This window comes from Homo sapiens, chromosome X, assembly GCF_000001405.40.
Source record: "Homo sapiens chromosome X, GRCh38.p14 Primary Assembly".
Taxonomy (NCBI): domain Eukaryota; kingdom Metazoa; phylum Chordata; class Mammalia; order Primates; family Hominidae; genus Homo; species Homo sapiens.
The window spans coordinates 41,715,138-41,738,732 of NC_000023.11; the positions used below are offsets into that span (position 1 = coordinate 41,715,138).

At 39.6% G+C, this 23,595-nt stretch overlaps 2 protein-coding genes across 14 annotated transcripts in view, besides 1 other annotated feature; one reads left to right on the forward strand and one right to left on the reverse strand.

Moving 5' to 3' along the window:
* Positions 1-23,595, reverse strand: part of CASK (calcium/calmodulin dependent serine protein kinase) — a 408,621-nt gene that overhangs the window by 200,204 nt on the left and 184,822 nt on the right. The gene's annotated exons all lie outside the window — the stretch shown is intronic.
* Positions 3,574-4,074: an enhancer, noted in NCBI's record as "OCT4-NANOG-H3K27ac hESC enhancer chrX:41577964-41578464 (GRCh37/hg19 assembly coordinates)". NCBI's record gives its function as "activates a minimal SCP1, AML or CMV promoter by ChIP-STARR-seq in naive H9 embryonic stem cells {active_cell/tissue: H9 hESC(naive)}" and the evidence as "EXISTENCE:reporter gene assay evidence [ECO:0000049][PMID:30033119]".
* Positions 9,044-14,993, forward strand: GPR82 (G protein-coupled receptor 82). Of its 3 annotated transcripts, NM_080817.5 has the most exons (3): positions 9,044-9,152; positions 11,636-11,706; positions 11,856-14,993. In NM_080817.5, exon 3 carries the CDS (start codon positions 11,890-11,892, stop codon positions 12,898-12,900), a length of 1,011 nt encoding a protein of 336 aa, NP_543007.1. In that variant the 5' UTR covers positions 9,044-9,152; positions 11,636-11,706; positions 11,856-11,889; the 3' UTR covers positions 12,901-14,993. The 3 variants fall into 3 exon arrangements, with proteins under 3 accessions (NP_543007.1, XP_047297947.1, XP_047297948.1); XM_047441991.1 differs by having other exon boundaries at positions 11,636-14,993; XM_047441992.1 differs by lacking the exon at positions 9,044-9,152 and having other exon boundaries at positions 11,399-11,706.

Sequence of the window (23,595 nt, forward strand, 5' to 3'; positions counted from 1 at the left end):
TGCAGAAATGAACAATAGCAAAAACCCCTGTGTTTGATTTTTTTACTGACTCAGTGGCCTGGCCACATGGTCAGGCAGAAGGGCAGTGGAAACCTGGCCTATTTATTAAAGGGATGCCCATATGGAGAATGGCCCTATGGAAATTTGAGGAGTGCATTAAAGTAGAACATGTCAATGCCCATCAGAAGAGCTCCTTTCTTGGCTGGACGTGGTGGCTCATGCCTGTAATCCCAGCGCTTTGGGAGGCCAAGGTGGGTGGATCACCTGAGGTCAGGAGTTTGAGACCACCCTGGCCGACATGGCGAAACCCCGTCTCTACTAAAAATACAAAATAATTAGCTGGGCATGGTGGTGCGCACCTGTAATCCCAGCTACTTGGGAGGCTGAGGCAAGAGAATCACTTGAACTCAGGAGGCGGAGGTTGCAGCGAGCCGAGATTGCGCCATTGCACTCCAGCCCAGGAGACAAGAGCAAAACTCTGACTTGAAAAAAAAAAAAAAAAGATCCTGGTTCAGAAAGTGATTGATATCACAAGCAGACAACCCTGGGTGCTCCCTTGAAGTGGCCACCTGGGTCTGTGAAATGAGTGGATAAACGGGTACTGCAACAGTGCAGAGATAGGCTGCATTTAGACATGTTTCTTTTGCACCATCTTAGGCACAAAATGCCAATAAAAACTGTTCTGTCTGCCAGCAAAAGAGACAGACATTGCCCATGGCTGTGGGGCAGATTTCCCTGGTGGGAAAGCCCTGAACAAGCTGGCAAGTGAGGCTGATGCTGGTAGCCCTGGGAGGCCACAAATGGGTTTTGACAGGAGTAGACACTGATTCTGGACTGGGCTTTGCTTGCCCGGTGGAAGATGTGAATGATGAGAATACCATAAAAAAGCCAGAACAGAAGATATTGCACATATTTGGAGAGCTGAACACCATTTCTTCAGGCCAAAGAACACACGGTACAGCCCATAATGTTCCAGCAGTGGGCAGAGATATTCTTCTCAGAATAATAGTTTGCTCAGAGTGCCATAAAAGCTAGAGCAGAAGATATTGCACAGATTTGGATGGCTGTCACTTCTTCAGACCCAGGAACACATTATATAGCCTATAATGTTCAGCAATGGGCAGAGAGATATCTTCCTCAGAGTAACGGTTTGATAGAGAGTGGAACAGGCAATGAAAACACTGGTTGTCTAAAACAGAGGGAGATGAAAGCACGAAGAGCTGCCTTATTTGCCTTCGCAAGTGTGTGCTCACATTCAACATGAGTGGGGCTAAGGGAATTTCCCCACTCAATAGATTTCTCCGCTTTTCTGAGGTATCCGGGAAGAGGAGGTGTGGAAGGATGCTGGTATGACTATGCATTTCTTGCTAAGGGAGGAGTACACTGGTATAATGATCACTCTTTATTTTTCTTTCCCACATCACCTCAACTTTTTTTTTACATTTCCCCTACCTGATGCATTGGTCCTAGGACCAGGGCTGCAACTACAAGTGCTGGAAGCAGGGGCAATTCCTAAGTAAGAAACTGTAACTATGTTTTTAAACTTTGAGTCAGAATTCCTAAGGGTCTGATTGTGGGGTGGACTCCTAAGGGGTGGCTTGTGCCTTATCCCATCTGGCAAAATTGGGGCTAACAATAAATGCAGCTATACTCCCTGGTGGTAAAAACAGCCCACTCGTTCTGCTGTGCCTATGGAACCTTACTCTATCTGAATGTCAGATACAATCAGTTTCTCTTCAAAAGTTTGGCATGTTAACTCCCTTGTTCTTTGTTCTCAATCTCAACTTCCTTGTTCTTCATGTCTCCTTGCCCCTGACTGAAGTAAACAACCTTCCCGCCAGTCTATAGTCCACAGCTGTTTCTTGCTCGTTGCCCTTAGTCACTCACTCTGCAAATTACCCCTCCTGCCATAACAGCTCTTACCCCCAAAACTGCCCTTCCCGCCAGTGTAACCCCCTCCCTGCACACTTCAAATTAGCCAACCAAGACCAGTTTCGATTGTGTGGTCCAGCTCCATCCAATGGAGACAGGACACAGTAGTAGAAACTCATTGCATTAGGAATAAAAACCCCTGCTTTCCTTTGTTCTGTGTGCTCTCGCCATTGCTCCACCCGCGAGACGCACGCTTCTATGGAAGTTAATTTGCCTTGCTGAGAAAACTTTTTGCGGGAGTGCTGATTTGATTCTTCTTTGTGGCACCGAAAATTTATTTCTAACATGAATGGGAGTGGACTGAGGGGGCAGCACTTGCTAGACTAGCATTGTTGCCTGCAATCTAGATAAGCACAGTGGCTGATTCTATTGTCCCATCCAAAGGTGGAAAAGTTTGGGAGTTTATAGAGATAAGGAAAAATAGTAGTGAGAGTAAAGAATAAATGGGTTATGAAATGAAAGAAACCCAGTATTATATTAATACCTTGAAAGAGGCTTAGAGCAAGAAATGATATCTGTCTCCTAGCTTAATTATACCAGCTGCTGTAAAGGGTGAAGCTATATGTTTGCCGAGAGCACTCTGACAAGACTGAATGGAAGCCTGCAAACCTGAGTGGCCTCGCCTTGGGAGACATTCATACAATATGATGGGCTGGACTGATTATTACTGATTGAATGAGATTCTAGTAATTTGGCGGTATCTTTTGAGTTGTACATCCTTTTGATGTGAGGGATCCAAGACAGAGGGTGGACTGGATACTATGAAATATATATTTGGTCTTTCGTCTGTTGTCTGGCATACAACCCCTAAAATCCTCAAAAACTCCAAAGTGATGTCTTTTTGTATGCTAATGAGGTGACTGCGGTCTGGCAGCTCCTAGGTAGCTTCAGGATGGGGCTGGTCATAGGAAAGACCAAGGCAGGATGACAAGGTTGGAACATTTAGCCCTACTCCCAACCCTCCAGAGAGGGGAGAGGGGCTGAAGGTTAAGGTAATCAACAGTAGCCAGTGCTTTAATCAATCATGGCTGTGTAAGGAAGTCCCCATAAAACCCCAAAATGACAGGGTTCAAGGAGCTTCTGGATAGCTGTACATGTGGAGGTTCCTGGAGGGTGACACGCCCAGGAGGGCATGGAAGCTCCACGTCCCTCTCTTCTCCCACACCTCACTGTATGCATCTCTTCAACTGTATCCTTTGTAATATACTTTATAATAAATCGGTAAACGTATTTCCCTGAATTCTGTGAGCTGCTCTAGCAAATTAATTGGACCCAAAGAGGGGCTGTGGGATCTTTGATTTATAGCCTGTCGGTCAGAAGCACAGGTGAAACAACCTGGGGCTTGCCACTGGCATCTGAAGGTAGGAAGAAGTCTTGGGGACTCAGCCTTCAACCTGTGGGATCTGACGCTATCTCCAGGTAGATAGTGTCAGAATAGAACTGAATTAGAGGACACACAGCTGGTGTCCACTGAATTGCTTGCTTGCTTGTTCATTGGGAGAAATCCCCACACATTTGGTCACAGAGGTCATCTGTTTAGACTCTTGTTGAATGAGAGAATAGAAAAAGCACTTTGGGTTTGTGTGTGATTTTTTTTCTTTTTTCTACCCTCAATTGGCATTGTTACCGATCATGGGTTCTTGGACTCTCAATGCAATAGAAATTGATATGAGGCCAAAAGCGCTTTCATAGACAAAGCTTCACTGGAGCTTATGCCCAAACAAAAGGGAGGCAGCACAAGAGAGAGAGAATTCCCGGGCTTCCTTCTGAAAAGAGTCATAGGGCTTTCTTATTAGGCAAAGTGCAGGAACTGGTAACAGGGGAAGGGTATGCAGGCTGGGCTGAGCAAAGCAGGTCAGCAGATCTGGTTGCTATGGTTATCTTGAGTAATGGGCCACCTGGTGGCGTGGCCTGTGGCAACAAGGCTGTAAATCAATTGTTCAGCATTCCTTCCTGAGGCAATCTTAGTTATCTCATAAGGCCAATTCCTGGAATTCTTTAAGAACTATTAGCATTTGAGGTAGTGGTGTGGGTTTTGTGATCAGTGGGAGTGCTCTAGTGGAGGTGAGCTGAAGCCAAGCCTGTCTCTACTCTTTCTCAGTGTCAATGAAGTGGGGTTTGCTGGAATGGCCCTGGTTCAGGTTCATGGAAACATGTGGTTTGGTAAGACAAAGGATGAAAGGGTTGGGAGATGAGGAACCTTTAATTCCTGGGTGGTCACCCACAGTTTGGAGCAGCAGCTGTGCTGCAATCGGTTACTGAAGGTGAAGTTACTAGCGGAATTTAGAGATGGATCCAACTCCTGGGGAGTTGGTTCACTGGATGCACAAGGAAATGCAAACTAATAAGAAAATGCCCTTTGAGTTTGTGTATGTGTTTTTCAACTCACCAAGTCCATTTCTGTTTTGTCATTAGTCTTTTCTTAAAAGCGTTTGAAATGCTTGTTCCCCGGTACCATAAAGAAATACCACTTGAACATAAATTTAATTTACTCAGCAAGGCCATTTTTACTTCCTGCAGAAAGGGTACACTCGCCAGCAGTTTTGCCACAAGAGTACACTGAACAAAGGAGACAGGGTCATTTATAAGCTGACGTGTCCACCCTACTGCTGTGTCCGGTTTCCATTGGCTGGAACGGGACCTCGCATTCTGTATCTGTCCCGATTGGCTAGCAACTTAGAACTTCTTAAAAAAGGCAAAGGCAGAGGAGAACAAAAGAAGGAGGAAGTAACTTGTGGAATGCTGAGAAAAGTAAAAACCTGCAAATAAGGAAGAGGAACAGGCTATGACCCAATGCTTGCTTGCACCAGTATAAGCATGCCAGGGCAAATATTTAGGCTAAATTGTGGGAGCTAAGAACATAAAGTACATTGATTTCTTTATCACGGCTAGCAGATATTTAAGAATGTTAGCACAGGTCTTTGAATAAATTTCACTTCTAAGAGAAGTTACTATTTATTCCTAATTAAATGGGGAGGAAAGTCTTCGAAGAGGAACCTCTGCTTTACTTTTTACAAAAGCTGATAACTTTTCTGTGTTATTATAAATTTACAAACTTCAGACTGTATTTTCTGCTGTTTTTAAAAGTAATTCTTGAGAGAAACGCTCCCATTGCTTGCTGAGAAACCAGCTCTTCAGAACAAGGAGAGGTTTTTCTTCACACTCTGATTAAGGGTGGGACACCCACGATCAGAGCTGCTTGTGGCAGGCGGTGAGGGCCTGAGAACAGTGTGACTGGAAACAAGGCTGTGGCCAGACACCACTTCCTGGAGAGGGCAGGGGGCTCAGTGAGCCTTGAACAAACCATAGCTTTGAGTAACTGCACTGTGTCTCACTCCTCCTAAAGATAACCACTGGCTTGGGTGTATGTTGAACTGGACAAGGCTTACTTACCACTGCCCCTGATTTAAAGAAATAATTATCTTTTGAATATGATATTCTAATGTGTACTAAATTAGTCATGTCTTCTCTTTCTGCATACCAGCCTCCCAATGCCCTGAGCTCCTGATTGGTTAGTGAGAGTACTTAAGAGGCCAGTTGCAGCCAGTTTAAACACTAGTTTGGATAGCCTAAAATAATTTCTAGATGAAGCACATGGCTTCAGGAATGACTAAGCTGTCCTGTGTCCTCTGGGTTCTGGCTCTGAGGGAAATTGATAAGGGACCCTAATTCTAACCCCAACAATCCATGTGAGTCAGGAAAGCTCTCATGTCCCCTTGCTATGTATAGCCCACCATGGATTGCCAAAATAAATGTCCACATGCCTGCCCTTTGATGATGGTATCTCCTCTGCCAGGTAAGTATATGCCTGCCCTTTGAAACACTCTCACTGAACCACTCCAGATGAATTTTGGGGCCAGATTAAAAAACACACTTGATACACAAATCCATCTCAAAAGCAGGAAAATTAATACAAGACAGAACTTCAATTGTAGGACATAACTCTAACACCTCAAGGAAGTAAATCCTAAGGGTGACAGCAGAACACTTAGGAGATCAATATTTGGCAGATGATACAGGAATCAACTAGAACTGTTAGGCCAAGAGCATTTGGACTTGGACAATAGAAGGGGAACCTTGAAGAGACGGATGGGCAAGATGAATGAGAACCAAAGAAAACTATTGGTGATTTGAATGAGAAAAGTCCAAAGGGGCCACTTTTACAGAATACTTGTAACATACTTTATTAATCTAGTATTCCCTGACATTTACTCTTTTTACCAATTGTAACAATATTTCCTAATTTCTTAGAAGAATGAAAATAAAATTTACATATATTTCAATTGGGGAACTCAAAATCACTGAATCCTAAAGAATTTATACTGCCATTGTTGGAATAATAGTTTGCTTAACAAAGTCCAGAGTTTTCAAAGACAGAAAAAAACTGGACTTGATTTCTTCCATGGTCAGTTTCTGCTACCTCAAGTCTAGAACAGGATACACAAATACATAAATCAGAACAGGAAACCCTATCTGAACAAAGTTAAAAATACTTAAAACATGACCCTATTGTGAGTACCATAAGGTACCCTTATTGACCTGCTAGAACAACCAATAATTTCTTTCTAAGGCAGAGAATGAGGTCATTTTAAAGCTAATTTACTAATTGTATTCCTCTAGGCAAGCTATTTAACCTCTTTGAGCCTCAATTTCCTCCCGTGTAAAATGGGACTCCCACCACACATCTCTAGGGTTCTTAGTCATAAAATGCTCTGTCCCATACCTGGCACAAAACTGTCACTTACTAGGTTATGTTCTCCTCTCTTTCCTTCCATTTGCTTTCACAAAGCCTTTCAGAACCACTTTGAGTCACTGTTTCTGCCCTTCTCTAATTCACAGAGCATTTGAAATCTGTATCACATATTAATCTAAATTCTTGGCTTGCTTGTGGAATCTGCTCAATTTCCAGAGACCCTCAATTAGCTTGTGACTAAACATCCTACTTCTGTGACCTCCACATGCTGCTAGGAACATAGTAGAAACTCCAATAAGTATTTGTTGAATGAATTACACTGTTTAACAAAAATAGACCTAAAAACCAAAATAGTGTAAGAACTGGCAAAACTTACACCTATCCAGGTATGCTTGTCCAATAAACAACCAGTGGACTGACAACGGTTTTTAAGCAGTACTTCTGACTCTTCCTTTGTTTCAACGGTTGATTGACATCTGTGATAGCCAGTTTCCAAGATGGCTCCCAGTGATCATCACCTCCTGATATTTACCCGTCCCACACTGATGCAGGGCTGGCTCTGTGTGACCAATAGAATACTGCAGAAGTGACACTGTTGACTTCAGAGGCTAGATCACAAAAAGGCATTGCAGCTATGGACTTGTTCTTGAATTAGTTGCTTTGAGGTGAGCCAATCACCATCCTGTGAGGACAGATGGCTGTGTGACCTTGGGCAACTTATGAGATCTTTCTGAGTTTCAGTTTTCCTCACCTTTAAAATGAGACATTTCACAGGGTGTTGTGAAAACCAAATAAGACTTGGATGTAAGGCACATAGCGAGATATCTGGCACATAGTAAGCTCTCATGAAATGTGGCTAATGAATGATGGTAGTGATAGTAGAAGCTGTAGTACCAGCAATTGATTAGATGTGAGATGTGAAAGAAAGAGGAATTAAGGATGATTCGTAAGTTTTTGGCTTGAATAACTGAAGGAGTGATGGTATCATTTACTGAGTTTGGAGACAATGGAGGAAAACAAGAGCGTTCTTTTTTCGGACCAAAGACGCTTATGCCTGAACAGATAATATTACAACTATCTTTCAATCACTTAGAAATAGCATTCCATTTCTGTTCTTCTCTAAATTAATTAAAACTGTTTTTTGTTCTATGTAATTCCTTCCTGGAACATGATACATTACTGAAGTAAAAGTGATGGGAATTCTAAAAGCCAAACTACTCTGTAATGAACGGCCATGTAACCCTGGATGAGTCACTGTTCTTAAGTAAATGGTGGCAAGGCAAAGATGAACAGCAGCAGAACACAATCTGGACACTTTAGGCAGTTCTCACTTTTGTTTTGGAGAGAAATATTAGCAAACATCATAGAGAATTTATGAAATAAACATGAAATAAGGTAAGCATTGCGGGTTTATGAGAAATGGCAAGGTACTTCTGTAAATTTTAAGTGAAGATTTACTGATAACTAAAATGCTCAGGTTTGATGAAATTAGATTTCTGTTCTCTTTTTCAGACTCCCACTGGTTTAACTACTCAAGGATGAGAGGGAGTGCTTGATGCAAGTCTTCCTCCCCAGATGTACACACTTAGCTTTCATTTAGTTAGTAGGTCACAGACTGATTCGACAATCCTGAACAAAAAAATTGGTTTCACAATTCTATTTTTTATTTTTAAAATTTTTATTGTTTTAGACTAGTCATGGTTTCACAATTCTTTATAACTATTCATTTGATCTGAGGCATACTTGGCACTTCCCAGGATTTGCCAAATCCATTATGAAATGCCCCAAACAGTGTATTATGTTGACAAATGGAGATAGTGCAGGGCAATTAGAAACAGAGTGGGTTAACTCATTAGTAACCAAACTGGGACCCAACCCTGGGTGCAGTCTGTGCTTACAGTGAGTTCCTCTGGGCCTCAGCTTCTTCAACTTTAAAACAAAGGGTCTCAGTCCACAGATGATCATGAAGTTCTATTTTAGCTCTATAATATTTGATTCTAGTAAGTTATAAGAAAACTTTGAGTTTTGTTTCTATTTTTGATAAAGATGGATTGCAAATAAGCCATCCACAAACAATTTTACAAACGAGTTTGCACCAATATTTGTATTGGGTTACTACAGAGTGGCTCCTTCTATCACTGTGTCATATAAAACTGGCCATGGGGGATTAAACCTGTGAACTTAACTTCAGTCAATCGTGCAAACAAAGGTTACTGGAGTGTAACTAGTTCATGAAATAATCATAAGGAAGTATAATATGTATATTGTTCACCACTTCCTCCCACTACAGAAATAGAGAAATGAGGGTTTTTTGAGGAGGCAGTTGCCACATTGACCATAACTATTGAATTTCTTCAATATTCTGTTTAATTTCCCCTTTTCCTCCCACTGTAGTTGGTGTCATGCAAGAATCTATTCACACTGACTAAAGATATTGGAAGAGTGAAGATCAGAGAATTTTAAGTCTGAAATTTGGCATCACTGCCCTGAACAATATAACCTTAGTTGGCATAAACTACTCATACAGGTAAGAGTGATTATTATTCATTTTTAGCTTAAAAATTAAACTCTATAAAAATAAACAGGACCTAATGGTTTAAATTTTGAAAGCTGATCATTAAGAAAGGCAGTCAGCATATTAACTATGTAGACAGTCATTAGTAACTGAAGTTAAGAGTTGTAGAACTTTTTTCATTTGTCAAATTAGCAGAGACAAAATGTATGCATGAGTGACTTGAGATAGACATTCTCCTGAGGGGAATATAGACTTAGAGACATTTTCTGGAGACCAGTTTTGCATCTGTAACATGTAATTTTTATTTGATTTCTTAATAGTACTTTCCAAATTCTGGAAAATAGTTATCTAGTAGTTTTATGATCCAAGTTTATTTTTGAAGGAGATGTACATAGTAGATACAAGTTTGGGAAGGTAAAGATGGTGACCTAGTTGTTGACTGCTACACTGAGAGTCCTACAGAGACTCAACTTCTGTCTGATAAAGCTAGCCTCTGCAGAAGTCTATGTCCCTTTTGTTTGGAAGCATTTAATATTCATACAGAAGCACCATTACCTTTGCAGTTTTTAGTATACTATGCATTATCTGCACAAGGTAGGAGCTACTGCTTTTCTTTAACAGCATCATAAAAGGAAGCTCCAATCCTTATGTAAAATCAAAACCTACTGTGAGCAGATAATTTTTTCTTAAATAAACTGGCTCATTTCACTGTCTGACTGATTTTTGAACTGGTGAAGTTACAGATTAGGTTTTATATATTTATACCAGGGTCTACACTAACTGAAACCAGATTATAATTCATCAGGTTGCACTAGATTCAGATACAAACTTACAATGAAGCATATGGACTGTTTTCTAAATAAAAATAGCAAAGAAATAAAATTATAAAGACAGTGGTAAACATTAATTAAGAATCTTGTTATTTAAACCCACAGACACTGCACAGTCCTCAAGTTTTCAAGACTTTGGGTGTGGATTGGTTTAAAAAGTTATTATAAAATTATAATATCATATTTGAAAAAAAACCCCAATTTCTGTAATCCAAGATGCAGAAAATAAATCAAACCATAATTCTGAAGGGGGTAGAGAGTAAAATTGCCCTGAGGGGCTGGGGGGATATAAGAATTTCAAAGGGTTGTGTATGGTACAGTTTTTATGTTTATCAAAAGAGAACATGATTAAAAAGAAGATTGAGAAACCTTGCTCTAGATCATGAAAGAGTGGAGAATGTGGTGCTCAGAAGGCTATGGTGAAGAACACAGAGAATATGGCACATTCTGAATAGAGATCATGGTTCTTATTTGACCAGAATCCAGTAACTTTTGTTATTCTCACCTGAAAGAAGTGAGGAAATAAGGAGAAAAATAAGAATAAAAGCAGTTTGTATATGATTCTTCAGCACTTCATGTGTACCCTTTGAAGCGAGAAAGATTTAAATATAAGACAGAAAAAAGTAAAAACCAGCATTTATGTTGTGATTAAAACATCATATCCTTTAAAAAAAATCCTCTGAAAAACTCAGATAGCAAATTACACACAAGGACACTCTAACCAACAAGCATAGCAGCTACAGTTTTTTTTTGTTTGTTTTTGAGACAGGGTCTCTTTCTGTTACCCAGCCTGGAGTGCAGTAGAATGATCATAGCTCACTGCAGCCTTGAACTCCTAGGCTCAACTGATCCTCAAACCTCAGCCTCCCAAGTAGCTGGGACTCCAGGCACATGCCAGGATGCCTGGCTAATTTTTCTGTAGAGACATGGTTTCACCATGTTGCCCAGGCTGGCCTTGGCCTCCCAAAGTGCTGGGATAACAGGCATGAGCCAACATACCCGGTCTAGTTTTTGTATTTTTTATAGAGACAGGGTCTCGCTATGTTGTCCAGGGTGTTCTTGAAATCCTGGTCTCAAGCATTCCTCCCACCTTAGCCTCCCAAAGTGCTGAGACTACAGGTGCAGAGCCACCACATCTGGCTGTAACTACAGTTTTGACATACATGTGTAAACTTTTATTGAAGTATGACAGTTTAACATTAAATATTTGAAAGGACATTTTAAATATTCTTTGGTAATGACCCTGGGATTTTGGAGTCTGTCCTTGGTTGCTATACTTCTGTTCAATTCAGGATCTTGCCTGAATTTTTGTTCATGTAGAACTGAGTTAACTTCTGAAATATGAAAAGAGACTCTTCTAATAGTATTAGGTTATAAAGGAGTGTTTTAGCCTAGCCACAAAAAGACACCATTTTGAAAACTATATATAAGTAATGTGGTAATTAAAAACCAGTCAACTCTCTATTATTGTGGCCGCAAAATACTTCTGTAATACTTTGGCCAACATGAATTGGTTACATGTGCCTTAAAATTTTTTAAATTATATTTCTAGGAAAAATCAATCATCACTTACAAATTGTTTTACAATCTAAGAACTATACATTTCTCTAAGTAAAATTATAAATCCCAGGCATGTAACTATTCACATCAAATTTTGTTTTTCAGACAAAGGCATTATCCATCACAATAAGTAACTTTTTGTCTTTATTTCAACCGGACAATCGTGATTAGAAAAGGTAAGAAGCCATCTATACTTTCCCGTTCCATCCAATACATTTTTGTTACTATTTTATTTAATTCAATGTTTTTCTTTTTTAAAAACTATTCAGCTTAAATACTGTACCAAAAATAATTTTAATATTAAATATCTGCAATTCTATTCTAGCTCCTGTGACAAAATTCAAGAAAACCTGACATAAATGAACAACAATACAACATGTATTCAACCATCTATGATCTCTTCCATGGCTTTACCAATCATTTACATCCTCCTTTGTATTGTTGGTGTTTTTGGAAACACTCTCTCTCAATGGATATTTTTAACAAAAATAGGTAAAAAAACATCAACGCACATCTACCTGTCACACCTTGTGACTGCAAACTTACTTGTGTGCAGTGCCATGCCTTTCATGAGTATCTATTTCCTGAAAGGTTTCCAATGGGAATATCAATCTGCTCAATGCAGAGTGGTCAATTTTCTGGGAACTCTATCCATGCATGCAAGTATGTTTGTCAGTCTCTTAATTTTAAGTTGGATTGCCATAAGCCGCTATGCTACCTTAATGCAAAAGGATTCCTCGCAAGAGACTACTTCATGCTATGAGAAAATATTTTATGGCCATTTACTGAAAAAATTTCGCCAGCCCAACTTTGCTAGAAAACTATGCATTTACATATGGGGAGTTGTACTGGGCATAATCATTCCAGTTACCGTATACTACTCAGTCATAGAGGCTACAGAAGGAGAAGAGAGCCTATGCTACAATCGGCAGATGGAACTAGGAGCCATGATCTCTCAGATTGCAGGTCTCATTGGAACCACATTTATTGGATTTTCCTTTTTAGTAGTACTAACATCATACTACTCTTTTGTAAGCCATCTGAGAAAAATAAGAACCTGTACGTCCATTATGGAGAAAGATTTGACTTACAGTTCTGTGAAAAGACATCTTTTGGTCATCCAGATTCTACTAATAGTTTGCTTCCTTCCTTATAGTATTTTTAAACCCATTTTTTATGTTCTACACCAAAGAGATAACTGTCAGCAATTGAATTATTTAATAGAAACAAAAAACATTCTCACCTGTCTTGCTTCGGCCAGAAGTAGCACAGACCCCATTATATTTCTTTTATTAGATAAAACATTCAAGAAGACACTATATAATCTCTTTACAAAGTCTAATTCAGCACATATGCAATCATATGGTTGACTTTTGAATGGAAAACCCCACAATATTAAGAAAAGCATTCATGTGACTTTATTAGGGACACTAAACTACATCATTAACATGTCACAGCTTGGTTGACAATAATCACCAAGAAAATCTCTTTGGTTTTTAAAAATAAATAAACATATATTCATAAAACTCAAAAAACAGTTATACTGAACGTTGAGATGGCAGAAACTTTCAGAAGCAAAAATTAAGCATATTGAAAGGATCCCACTCATATGAAACTAACAGGCTGTTTTCTGTTTAAACTCAACTGTCAGTGCTTCTGTTCAGAACACGTTATTTCATGACTAGGATAAAGAAGCAAATGGTTTATGACTTGTCTGCTTTCTGGTAGTTAGAATACAAGGGTCAATCTATGGCTAGTGTTTATTGGTAATTTTAAAATCTTTAAAAATAAGTAGCTGGGCACAGTGGCTTACGCCTGTAATCCCAGCACTTTGGGAGGCTGAGGTGGGTGGATCATTTTGAGGTCAGGAGTTCAAGACCAGCCTGGGCAACATGGTGAAACCCTGTCTCTACTAAAAATACAAAAATCAGCTGGACATGGTGGTGGGCGCCTGTAATCCCAGCTACTCGGGAGGCTGAGGCAGGAGAATCGCTTGAGCCCGGGACGGAGGTTGCAGTGAGCGGAGATCGTGCCACTGCACTACAGCCTGGGAGGCAGAGCGAGACTCTGTCTCATAAAACAAAACAAAAAAATAAAAATAAGTAAAAAAATAAATAAGAAATATCCTCATTCACATCTTACCTAAATGCATGAATAATACAGTGAAAAAAATCCAAGGTTTTATAAACATATTATTTATTTGAAATTATCTGGCTCATGTTATTGGGGAGAAGCAATATTCATTGACTATATTTTTAAAGCAGATGATACTTATAAAAATGCTTAAATATTTGGATTAGGCTTTGTCAAAGTAAAAAGCTATGTCATTATATGCCCATCTTCATCACATTGTGCATATTTTCTTCTGTATTCAATATAAATAATGTTATTAGTGACAAACAGTACCTGGCAGTTAATTTTTTGTGAAATAAATGAATGAATAATAAGGGAGTGTAATAGTATTGCAGTTAAGAGATTGATCTCTGAAGTTATACTTCTTGGGTTCAATCTGGCTCTACTTTTTATTTAGCTGGACAATCTTAGGCAAATTAACTTATCCTCTGTACGTGTTAATTTCTTCATTTGTAGAGCAGAAAATACTATCTTATTTACAGATCCTATTATTAAATCAGCTGTTACTATTATGAGTAGCTAACGCTTAGTAAGCACTTGCTGTTTGCCAAGCATTCTACTTATATGCTTTACATATATTATTTTAATCACCACAACTCTAAAGTATACTAATTTACTGATGAAAATATTGAAGTGGGCTGGGTGCGGTGGCTCATGCCTGTAATCCCAGCACTCTGGGAGGCCGAGGTGGGCAGATCACCTGAGGTCAGGAGTTCGAGACTAGCCTGGCCAACATGGCGAAACCCACCTCTACTAAAAATACAAAAATTAGCTGGGCGTGGTGGTGTGTGCCTGTAGTCCCAGCTACTTGGGAGGCTGAGGCAGAAGAATCACTTGAACTCGGGAGGCTGAGGCAGGAGAATCACTTGAACTCAGGAGGCGGAGGTTGCAGTGAGCCAAGATCATGCCATTGCACTCCAGCCTGGGCGACAGAGTGAGACTCTGTCTCAAAAAAAAAAAAAAAAAAAAAAAAAAAAAAAAATATATATATATATATATATATATATGTATGTATGTATGTATATGTGCATAGTTAAGTAAATCACCCCAATTTTTTCTAATATTTAAGTGAACATTTAAAGATAAGCATTTCTTAATGTTAATTTCTTTTCTTTCATGTAATCTTGTCAGTAGACAAATGATGGTGACTATATTCTGTAATAAGTACATATATTATGATTAAAAAAAAAAGCGTGTACTATCTGCCCAAAGAGATCATAAGCACTTTGGAGCTATAAACTTCTTGTCTATTTCTACTTCCATGGTACTGATATTCTCTTCTCAGATAACCAAACAAAAACAGCTGAATAAAATCAACCATTAATAGTAACTTGCCACTTTGTTAGAGACTGCTTAAAGACTCCTTTTTTTCTTCACATAGTAATTACTTCAGTGTCCAAAATGAAGTTTAAAGTAAGTTCACGTAATCCTTCCAAGGCTTTAATCTCATAGCATGTTTTGTTCCTGAGTTAGAGCTGTAAAAGCAATTCACAGTACATTGCCCAAGAGCCATGTGTTCAAAAATCACCAGAGGTTATTCCGGGGGCAAAACAAACAAACAAAAAACCACACACACACACACACAAAAACCCAGTAAATTTTTTTTTCCTTTTCTACTTTGATGCTTAACTGAGACATGAAAATGTTCTGAGAAAAGTCTGAACACATTCTGGCTTCAAATATTTACAGTGAGTATCAATTCGTTTATAGTAGTAATTGGATTTTTGGCTCATTAATGTGCAGAGACAAAGGAGATTTGGGAACTTGAGGTGACCGCCCTGAATGCTAGCTGTAAATGGAAGTGTCCAATCTAGTGATTTCTAGACATGTAAATCATAGAGTAACTCAAAGTCCATCAGGGAGAGTTCCTGAGATGCACAGATTTCTCCACAGTTACAAAAGTAGTTTTATTCTTTTTATGAGATGGGGTCTCACTCTGTCACCCAAGCTGGAGTGCAGTGGCGTGATCTGGCTCACTGCAACCTCCACCCCCCCGGGGTCAAGTGATTCTCCTACCTCAGCCTTCTGAATAGCTGGGACCACAGGTGCCCACCATCATGCCCGGCTAATTTTTGTTATTTTTTTGTAGAGACGGGGTTTCGCCATGTTACCCAGGTTGGTCTCGAATTCCTGAGCTCAAATAATCTGCCCATCTTGGCCTCCCAAAGTGTTGGGATTACAGGGGCAAGCCATTGTGCCCAGACTAAGTAGTTTTATTCTTACATGAGTTTTGAGACCAAAACTCATCCGACTAAGACAGTAATGTTTGTTTAACATAAGCTATACTGCATGTAATAATCTCACTGGACTTAGGAGTTTTAAAAAAATACAACTTCCAGTCAGGTACAGTGGCTCATGCCTGTAATCCCAGCACTTCAGGGGGCTGAAGTGGGGGGATCACTTGAGCCCAGGAGTTTGAGACCAGCCTGATCAACATAGTGAGACCACGTCTCTACAAAAAATAGAAAAATTAGCTGGACATGGTGGCACATGTCTCTAGTCCTAGCTACTTGGGAGGCTGAGGTGGGAGGATCTGTTGAGCCCAGGAGGTTGAGGCTGAAGTGAGCCATGATTGCACCACTGCATTCCTGCCTGGGTGACAAAGCGAGACCCTGTCTCAAAAACAAAAACAAAAAACCCAAAAAATACAACTTCTAAAAATAATTATTTAAAAAACAATCACTTTACAGCTCTACCACTACTTTAAACAAAAAATATTTCTAGAGATTCTTACATTTAAAAAGGCAGGAAAAGAGATATGCAATTTCTCTTTAAGTTACTCATTCTGATAAACTCACATTTTAATTTCCTATACTGAAGAATGAACTATATACTCAGCTCATTATCATCATGGATATCTTTACACCATAGATGCTTTCCTAAACAGTTGATTTTAAATCATGTTGAATTTTTTTATGTAATTGAAGAACTGGCTATTTAATGGCATAGTAAATATTTTACTTAAAATATCACTTCTGTTTTTGGAGACAGGGTCTGTCTCTGTCGTCCAGGCTGGAGTACAGTGGTGATCATAGCTCACTGCAGCTTCAAACTCTTGGGCTCAGGTGATCTCACCACCTCAGCCTCCTGAGTAGCTAGGACTACAGGTGTGTGCCATCATGCCTGGCTAATTTTTGTATTTTTTTTTTTTTTTTTGTAGAGATGTGCTCTTGCTATGTTGCCCAGGCTGGTCTTGAACTCCTGGGCTCAAGCGATCCTCCCGCTTCAGCCTCCCAAAGTTTTGAGATTATAGGTGCAAGCCACTGTGCCTGGTTTTAAAATCACCTTCAAAACTTACCCTATTTTAAAGTTTGGATTTCAAAAAAACAGTGTTTTTAATGTGTCTGTGTGAGTTACAGTCAAACACAAATTTGGGGTTTCAGGAATCTCAAATTTTGACTCAAAGGCCAACAAGATTTTATCTTAAACTGTAGAAAACAGGCATACACATACTCTCATTAAGGCAGCTTTCAAACTATAATCAGGAACACAAACCATTAAGACTAGACAAAATTTAGGATAAACAACTTAACAGGGAAGTAAGTTTCTACTCCCTGGATAGAAGAGGAAGATGGCCCATTCTGTTCAATTTGCTGAGGACTCTAGGCCTATCACTGGCCTTGTGCTCTGTCAGGGTGGGAGTTACGGGCAAATCTGGGAAGACAAGGTGAAAGGAAATCCTGCCGGCAAACCACAAAGGGAGAACAGAGGGAACACTGGTAATCTGCTAAGCATAAGCATTTCAATCCAGCAGCCTAATGCCACAAACCTTCCTCTGATGGCCCCTACACTCAAATGGAATTGATAACACTGGGAAGAGTTACTACAGCTATAGTTGCACCTGACAGAAAAACCTCTGGCTATATCACACACGCTACTCCTGGCTCAGAAGGAGAGGAACAGTAAAAGGATTCACTTCTAATAAGCAAAAGAATTTTTTTTTTTTTTGAGATGGAGTCTCACTCTGTTGCCCACGCTGGAGTGCAGTGATACAATCACAGCTCATTACAGCTTCAACCTCCTGGGCTCAAGCAATCCTCCTGCCTCAGCCTCTCCAGTAGCTAGGACCACAGGTGTGTGCCAACACACCTGGCTAATTTTTATTTTTTGATAGAGATAGGGTCTTACTGGCCAGGCGTGGTGGCTCACAAGGTCAGGAGTTCGAGATCAGCCTGGCCAACATGGTGAAACCCTGTCTCTACTAAAAAATATATATATAAAAAAAATTAGCTGAGCGTAGTGGCAGGCGCCTGTAATCTCAGCTACTCAGGAGGCTGAGGCAGGAGAATTGCTTGAACGTGGGAGGTGGAGGTTGCAGTGAGCTGAGACCGTGCCACTGCACTCCAACCTGGGCAACAGAGCGAGATTCCATCTCAAAAAAAAAAAAAAAAAAGGAGAGAGAGAGATAGGGTCTTACTATGTTGCTCAGGCTGAGAAACTTAAAACCAAGGAGTTGATTTCTTTTTTTGTAGGAGTAGGCTGGGCAAAGAGAAGTATAGCAGTTAGAAACACAAGATAAATTTATAATAATCATGTAATCCATGAGATCTTCCTAAGTACAATTATTAAAATGCCACATTAAAACTGAACGTGCACATTATGTTAAAAAATCTTATAAAAGAAATGCAGAAGATTAACCAATGTTAATATAATAATAAAGAATAGTGGCTGGGCACGGTGGCTCACGCCTGTAATCCCAGCACTTTGGGAGGCTGAGGCGGGCAGATCATGAGGTCAGGAGATCGAAACCATCCTGGCTAACACAGTGAAACCCCGTCTCTACTAAAAATACAAAAAAATTAGCCGGGCATGGTGGCGGGCACCTGTAGTCCCAGCTACTCGGGAGGCTGAGGCAGGAGAATGGCGTGGACCTGGGAGGTTGAGCTTGCAGTGAGCTGAGATGGCGCCACTGCACTCCAGCCTGGGCGACAGAGTGAGACTCTGTCTCAAAAAAAATAAATAAATAAATAAAATAAATAAAGAATAAATACGTTTTTGTTTTATGAGAATTTAAATTTCTCTATACAACATGATAAACTTTGGGGAGTTGTGGTATCAGGTGTAAAAGAAACATCAGTAACGGAGAACAAGAGACTACGGAATGCTTTAAGAAATCCACAATGTCATGCCAACCAGTGTTATATGATAAACACAAATTTATCATAAAGTCTGGCCTTAAATAGGTAAAAGGAGAACTGAGACCAGAAGGGAACCAAAAAGCAGCCAGGCGTGTTCACACAGGTTAGCAAGGAAAACCATTTAAAGGAAGCACACTCAGAAACACTCTGGCCTCTGGCTGAGTGTGTGTGTGACTGGGGTTTGCACAGTTCTAAGAACTAAAAACAGCACCCAGACCTTCTGGGCACAGGCACCATTCAGAATAGAAAGTGATTGTGGGTAGCAATTTGCATTCTCAGAGAAACTGTTTCACTTCAACTTCAGTTATTAGAATTATACATGAGTAGGTCAGAGTGACAGAAAGGTCTAAAACTAAGTCTCCCCACAACCTCATGATCTAAGGCTGCCTGCAAGAGTTAGGAGAGAGGAGAAAATTCCACAAACTCTCAGTGCTTAGTAGAGCCCATGAAAGAAGGCAAAGAGCCAGGAGTTGCATTTACCTTGACAACTGTGCTATTTCTTTCTAAAGTACTTTTAATTTAGGGGTGAGAGGAAGAAAAAAAAATACCAGAAACATAATGAAAGTTTTCACATTCTTTCACAAGAAAAAGTAGAATTAAAGGGAAGAAGATGACAGAAAAAAATAGAAATTTATATGCATGCCTTAATTAATACCTGTAGGGAGGCAAATCTTGAGAATTATAACAGTCTATTATGACAGTGGGCCTTAACCAGGGACAATTTTTGTGCCCCAGGGGACATTTAGCAATGTTTGGAGACATTTTTGGTTGTCACAACTAGGGGGAGATGCTACTGGCATCTAGTGGGTGAAGGATGCTTAGCAGCATCCTACAATTCCCAGGACAGCCTCCCACAGCAAAGAATATAGCCTGATATGTCACTAAGTGTGGCTGTGGGGAGGCCCAGCACTATGTTCACACATCTCTCGAATTTCAAAGGATTATATGATTGCTTTTTATGCAGTTTTATGTGAAACTGCTTCTTCAGAGCAAGCAGTTCCCAAAAATAGATTACATGGTACCATATATTCAAATCTAACCAAATAATCCTTTTAAGACTCAGTTACAATGATTACAAAAGGAAATACCTTTTGTAAAAAAGTAAAGAAAAAAGTATTAATAAATATAATAACAGGATCCTTGGGAAATGTAATGCTTTTGGATCATATGCCAAGAATTATGAGAGAGAGAGAGAGAATGAGAATATTCTTGGCTAGATGAAACAGATGATAAAATAAATTTTTCTTAGAGAAATAAAATATTGCAATGCTCTTCTGTTTTCGTTATTAAATATAAGGAAAGAAAACTTAGACAAAAACTTTAACTGCAGAAACAAAAATCTACATACAAACCAAATCTACATACAGATAAGTCACTGAATATATATCTGAATGGAAAGAAAAGCTCATAGGTTGCTTTATTGGCAAAAATATTAACAAATCAAACCAAGTGAAAATTTACATTATTAGCATGTGAAATGTATTGTTCTTGAAGTTTTACAATGACCACTATGTTGGAATACCCCTGTAACAGGGTCTTGAATAAAACTAAGTTTTGCCTACGTTACCAAAGATATATTAGGAAATCCTATTGGCATAATCTCCAAAATATATCAGGAATCTAACTAATTTTTTTTTTTTTTTTACTACCTCCACTGCTACTACTCTGGTCTGAGCCAGGCAGGATCATCTCCTGTCTCCTTTTTACTCTCCTCTTTGCACATTTTGCCTCAGCCACACCGGCCTCCTTGCTGTTCCTCGAGCAGGCTACTTGTGTTCCTGTCTTTCGGTCTTTGCACTGGCTGTTCCTTTTAACTGAAGTGCTCTTCCCTCAGCTGTCAGATTAGCCCGCTTCCTCTCTTCCAAGTCCTTGCTCAGATATCATCATCTCAATGTGGCCTACTTTGACCACCATATTTACAAAAGCAAGCCCTTCTCTGGACACTCCCTAACCTTCTGACCACTCTAGTTTTTTCTGTGATACTTTTCACATTCTAGCCTACTATGTAGTTCATTTGTTTACTGAGTATTGCCTCCCTGAACTAGAATGTCAGCTCCATGAGGGCAGTGATTTTTGTCTGTTTTCTTCACTGACGTAGCTCCGGTTCCTAGGACAGTGCCTGCCACACAGTAGGCACTCAATAAATATCTTTTGGATGAATGTCTTAAGAAAAATACACCAACATTAAAAATTTTCAATTAACTAAATGTGAGTATTCTATTCACCCATGTAAAAATGTGTGGATTTCGGCTTCTGAAATATAAAGAATATCAACACCGGGCGCGGTGGCTCACGCCTGTAATCCCAGCACTTTGGGAGGCTGAGGTAAGAAGATTGCTTAAGCCCAGGAGTTCAAGAGCAGCCTGGGCAACAGGGTGAAACCTCGTCTCTACAAAAAACTACAAAAAAAATTTAGCCAGGTGTGGTGGCGCACGCCTATAGTCCCAGCTACTCTGGAGGCTGAGGCATGAGGATTGCTTGAGCCCAGGAGGCAGAGGTTGCAGTGAGCCGAGATTGCGCCACTGCACTCCAGCCTGGGTGACAGGGCGAGACCCTGTATCAAAAAACAAACAAAACAAAACAAACAAACAAACAAAAAACAAACAAAAAAAGAATATCAACATTAACGTGTGCTCTGTGTTGAGTGTGTCTCCCAACTGAACAATGGCAATTTTTGGGGTGGTTTCTTCTTACTTATTTGCAGTTTGAGAATTACTTCTTTTTCATTCCTTGGCATGTTTCTACGTGCTTCCTCTAAACTATTTAGCATGTACTTTAGAAATAATAAACTAATCTAACATACTCCAACGTAAGACTACTTTTGGGCCTTTGCACAAACTGTTCCTTCTGCCTGAAATGTCTTTTTGTCTCCATATAACTACCCCATGATTCAAGAACAAGCTCCAATGTGACCTCCCCCAGGAAACTTCTCTGACCTCATCTTTTAATGATACTTATCACCTTCTACCTTGCACAATAATTATTTGTCTTTCTAAAGGTGGCCACGAACAAGTTCTCCCATCCTTGTATATATCTGGCACTCCATCAATCAAAATATGAATCTATGTTTCTTCCCCTTGAACTCAGACTAGCCTTGTGACCTTTTTGTGAAGTATGTTTCAACTAATGAAATGCATAAGATGTGACACAGTGTCAGTTTGCTTCAGGAGGCCTAGCACCTTCCATTTTTGCTCTTTTGGAGCCCTAAGACACTGTCTTGCTGGAGATAGGGCCACGTGGAGAGAGAGAGACGTTTTGAATGAGAGACCGCAAAGAGCGCCCAGCCAGCTCCCAGCTGTTCTAGTCACTTCAGTTGAGATGTCAGAAAAATGAGTGAAGCCTATGTGGAAACTAGCCACGCTACGTCACCAACATCCTGTGAAACAGAATTGAGCAGTCCTATCAAGCTCTGCCCAAACTGCAGAATTGTGAGCAAGTAAGCAGCAGTTATTGATTGAAGTCACTATGTTTTGGCATGTGTTGATCTGCTACAGTAGATAAGAGATACCGAGCCTTATCTCCCTACTGAGACCATAATACTTTTAGGGCTCCAAGCACAGTAATCTGTATAAAGTAGGCACTCAAATATTTGTTAAATAAATAAATCAGAAGGTAAATTAAAAGGTGAGGTCAAATTATCTACTTTTGGATATTAATTAGGTTTAGGTTGTCATATCAAATACCAGTTAATCAAAAGCTGACTACATTATTGAAAGTATTACAGTAGAATATATTGTCAATCATTGTTTATTATATGATGTTGATATAATTATCTTTCGAGAATAATTCATTCAAAATAAAATTGCCTCTTGAGCAAAACAGTTCTTAACATAATGCTATTACATGAACACATTTTAGGTTTTTAAATTATCATTTTTTTCTTGTATATAGTTTAGAATATATACAAAGAGATATATTTTACTCTCTACATATGAACTTTCTTACATTAATTAATGCAAAATAACTGCACAGCAAACTACTACAGTTGACAATTTCCCGCCTTTTACCTTTCCACACTTTTATTTCTTTTTGGATAACTGAAGAATACTTTTTTGAGACGGAGTCTCGCTCTGTCGCCCAGGCTGGAGTGCAGTGGCACAATCTCGGCTCACTGCAACCTGTGCCTCCTGGGTTCAAGCGATTCTCCTGCCTCAGCCTCCCAAGTAGCTGGGACTACAGGCATGTGCCACCATGCCCAGCTAATTTTTGTATTTTTAGTAGAGATGGGGTTTCACCATGTTGGCCAGGCTGGTCTTGAACTCCTGACCTCAGGTGATCCACCCGCCTTGGCCTCCCAAAGTGCTGGGATTATAGGCATGAGCCACCGGGCTTGGCCAGAATACTTTTTCATAAAGGGGGACCCATTGAGATGCTCGGTGTTGAGTTCTGATAATAACAATATCATTTTCTTAACACATCTGAAAAGGATGAGTGAGATATTTTACAACTAATTTACACTAATGTGTATTTTGTATATTTCTCCAGTGATTTTCATTTGCTATTAAAATATTTTACTAGATGGTTTTGGAATTGCTCATGTTTTCCCTCAGCTTTTAACTACAAGGATTTCTGTGAAAATTTCCCAAACATTATAGACACTTTAATTAAACTCTACTTAATTTTCTTAATCATTTAAAGTATTAAATACATCGAAGAAGCCAGGCCTTTAATAATATATCTTGAGGGAAGGAACACTATGTATGTGCATGCTGGAGGTTAGAGAAAGGCCAGTGACAAAATATCAGAGCTTAAAAGTGTAGCCCAGGGTCAAAGGGACCTCAGGGGCTCCCTAGT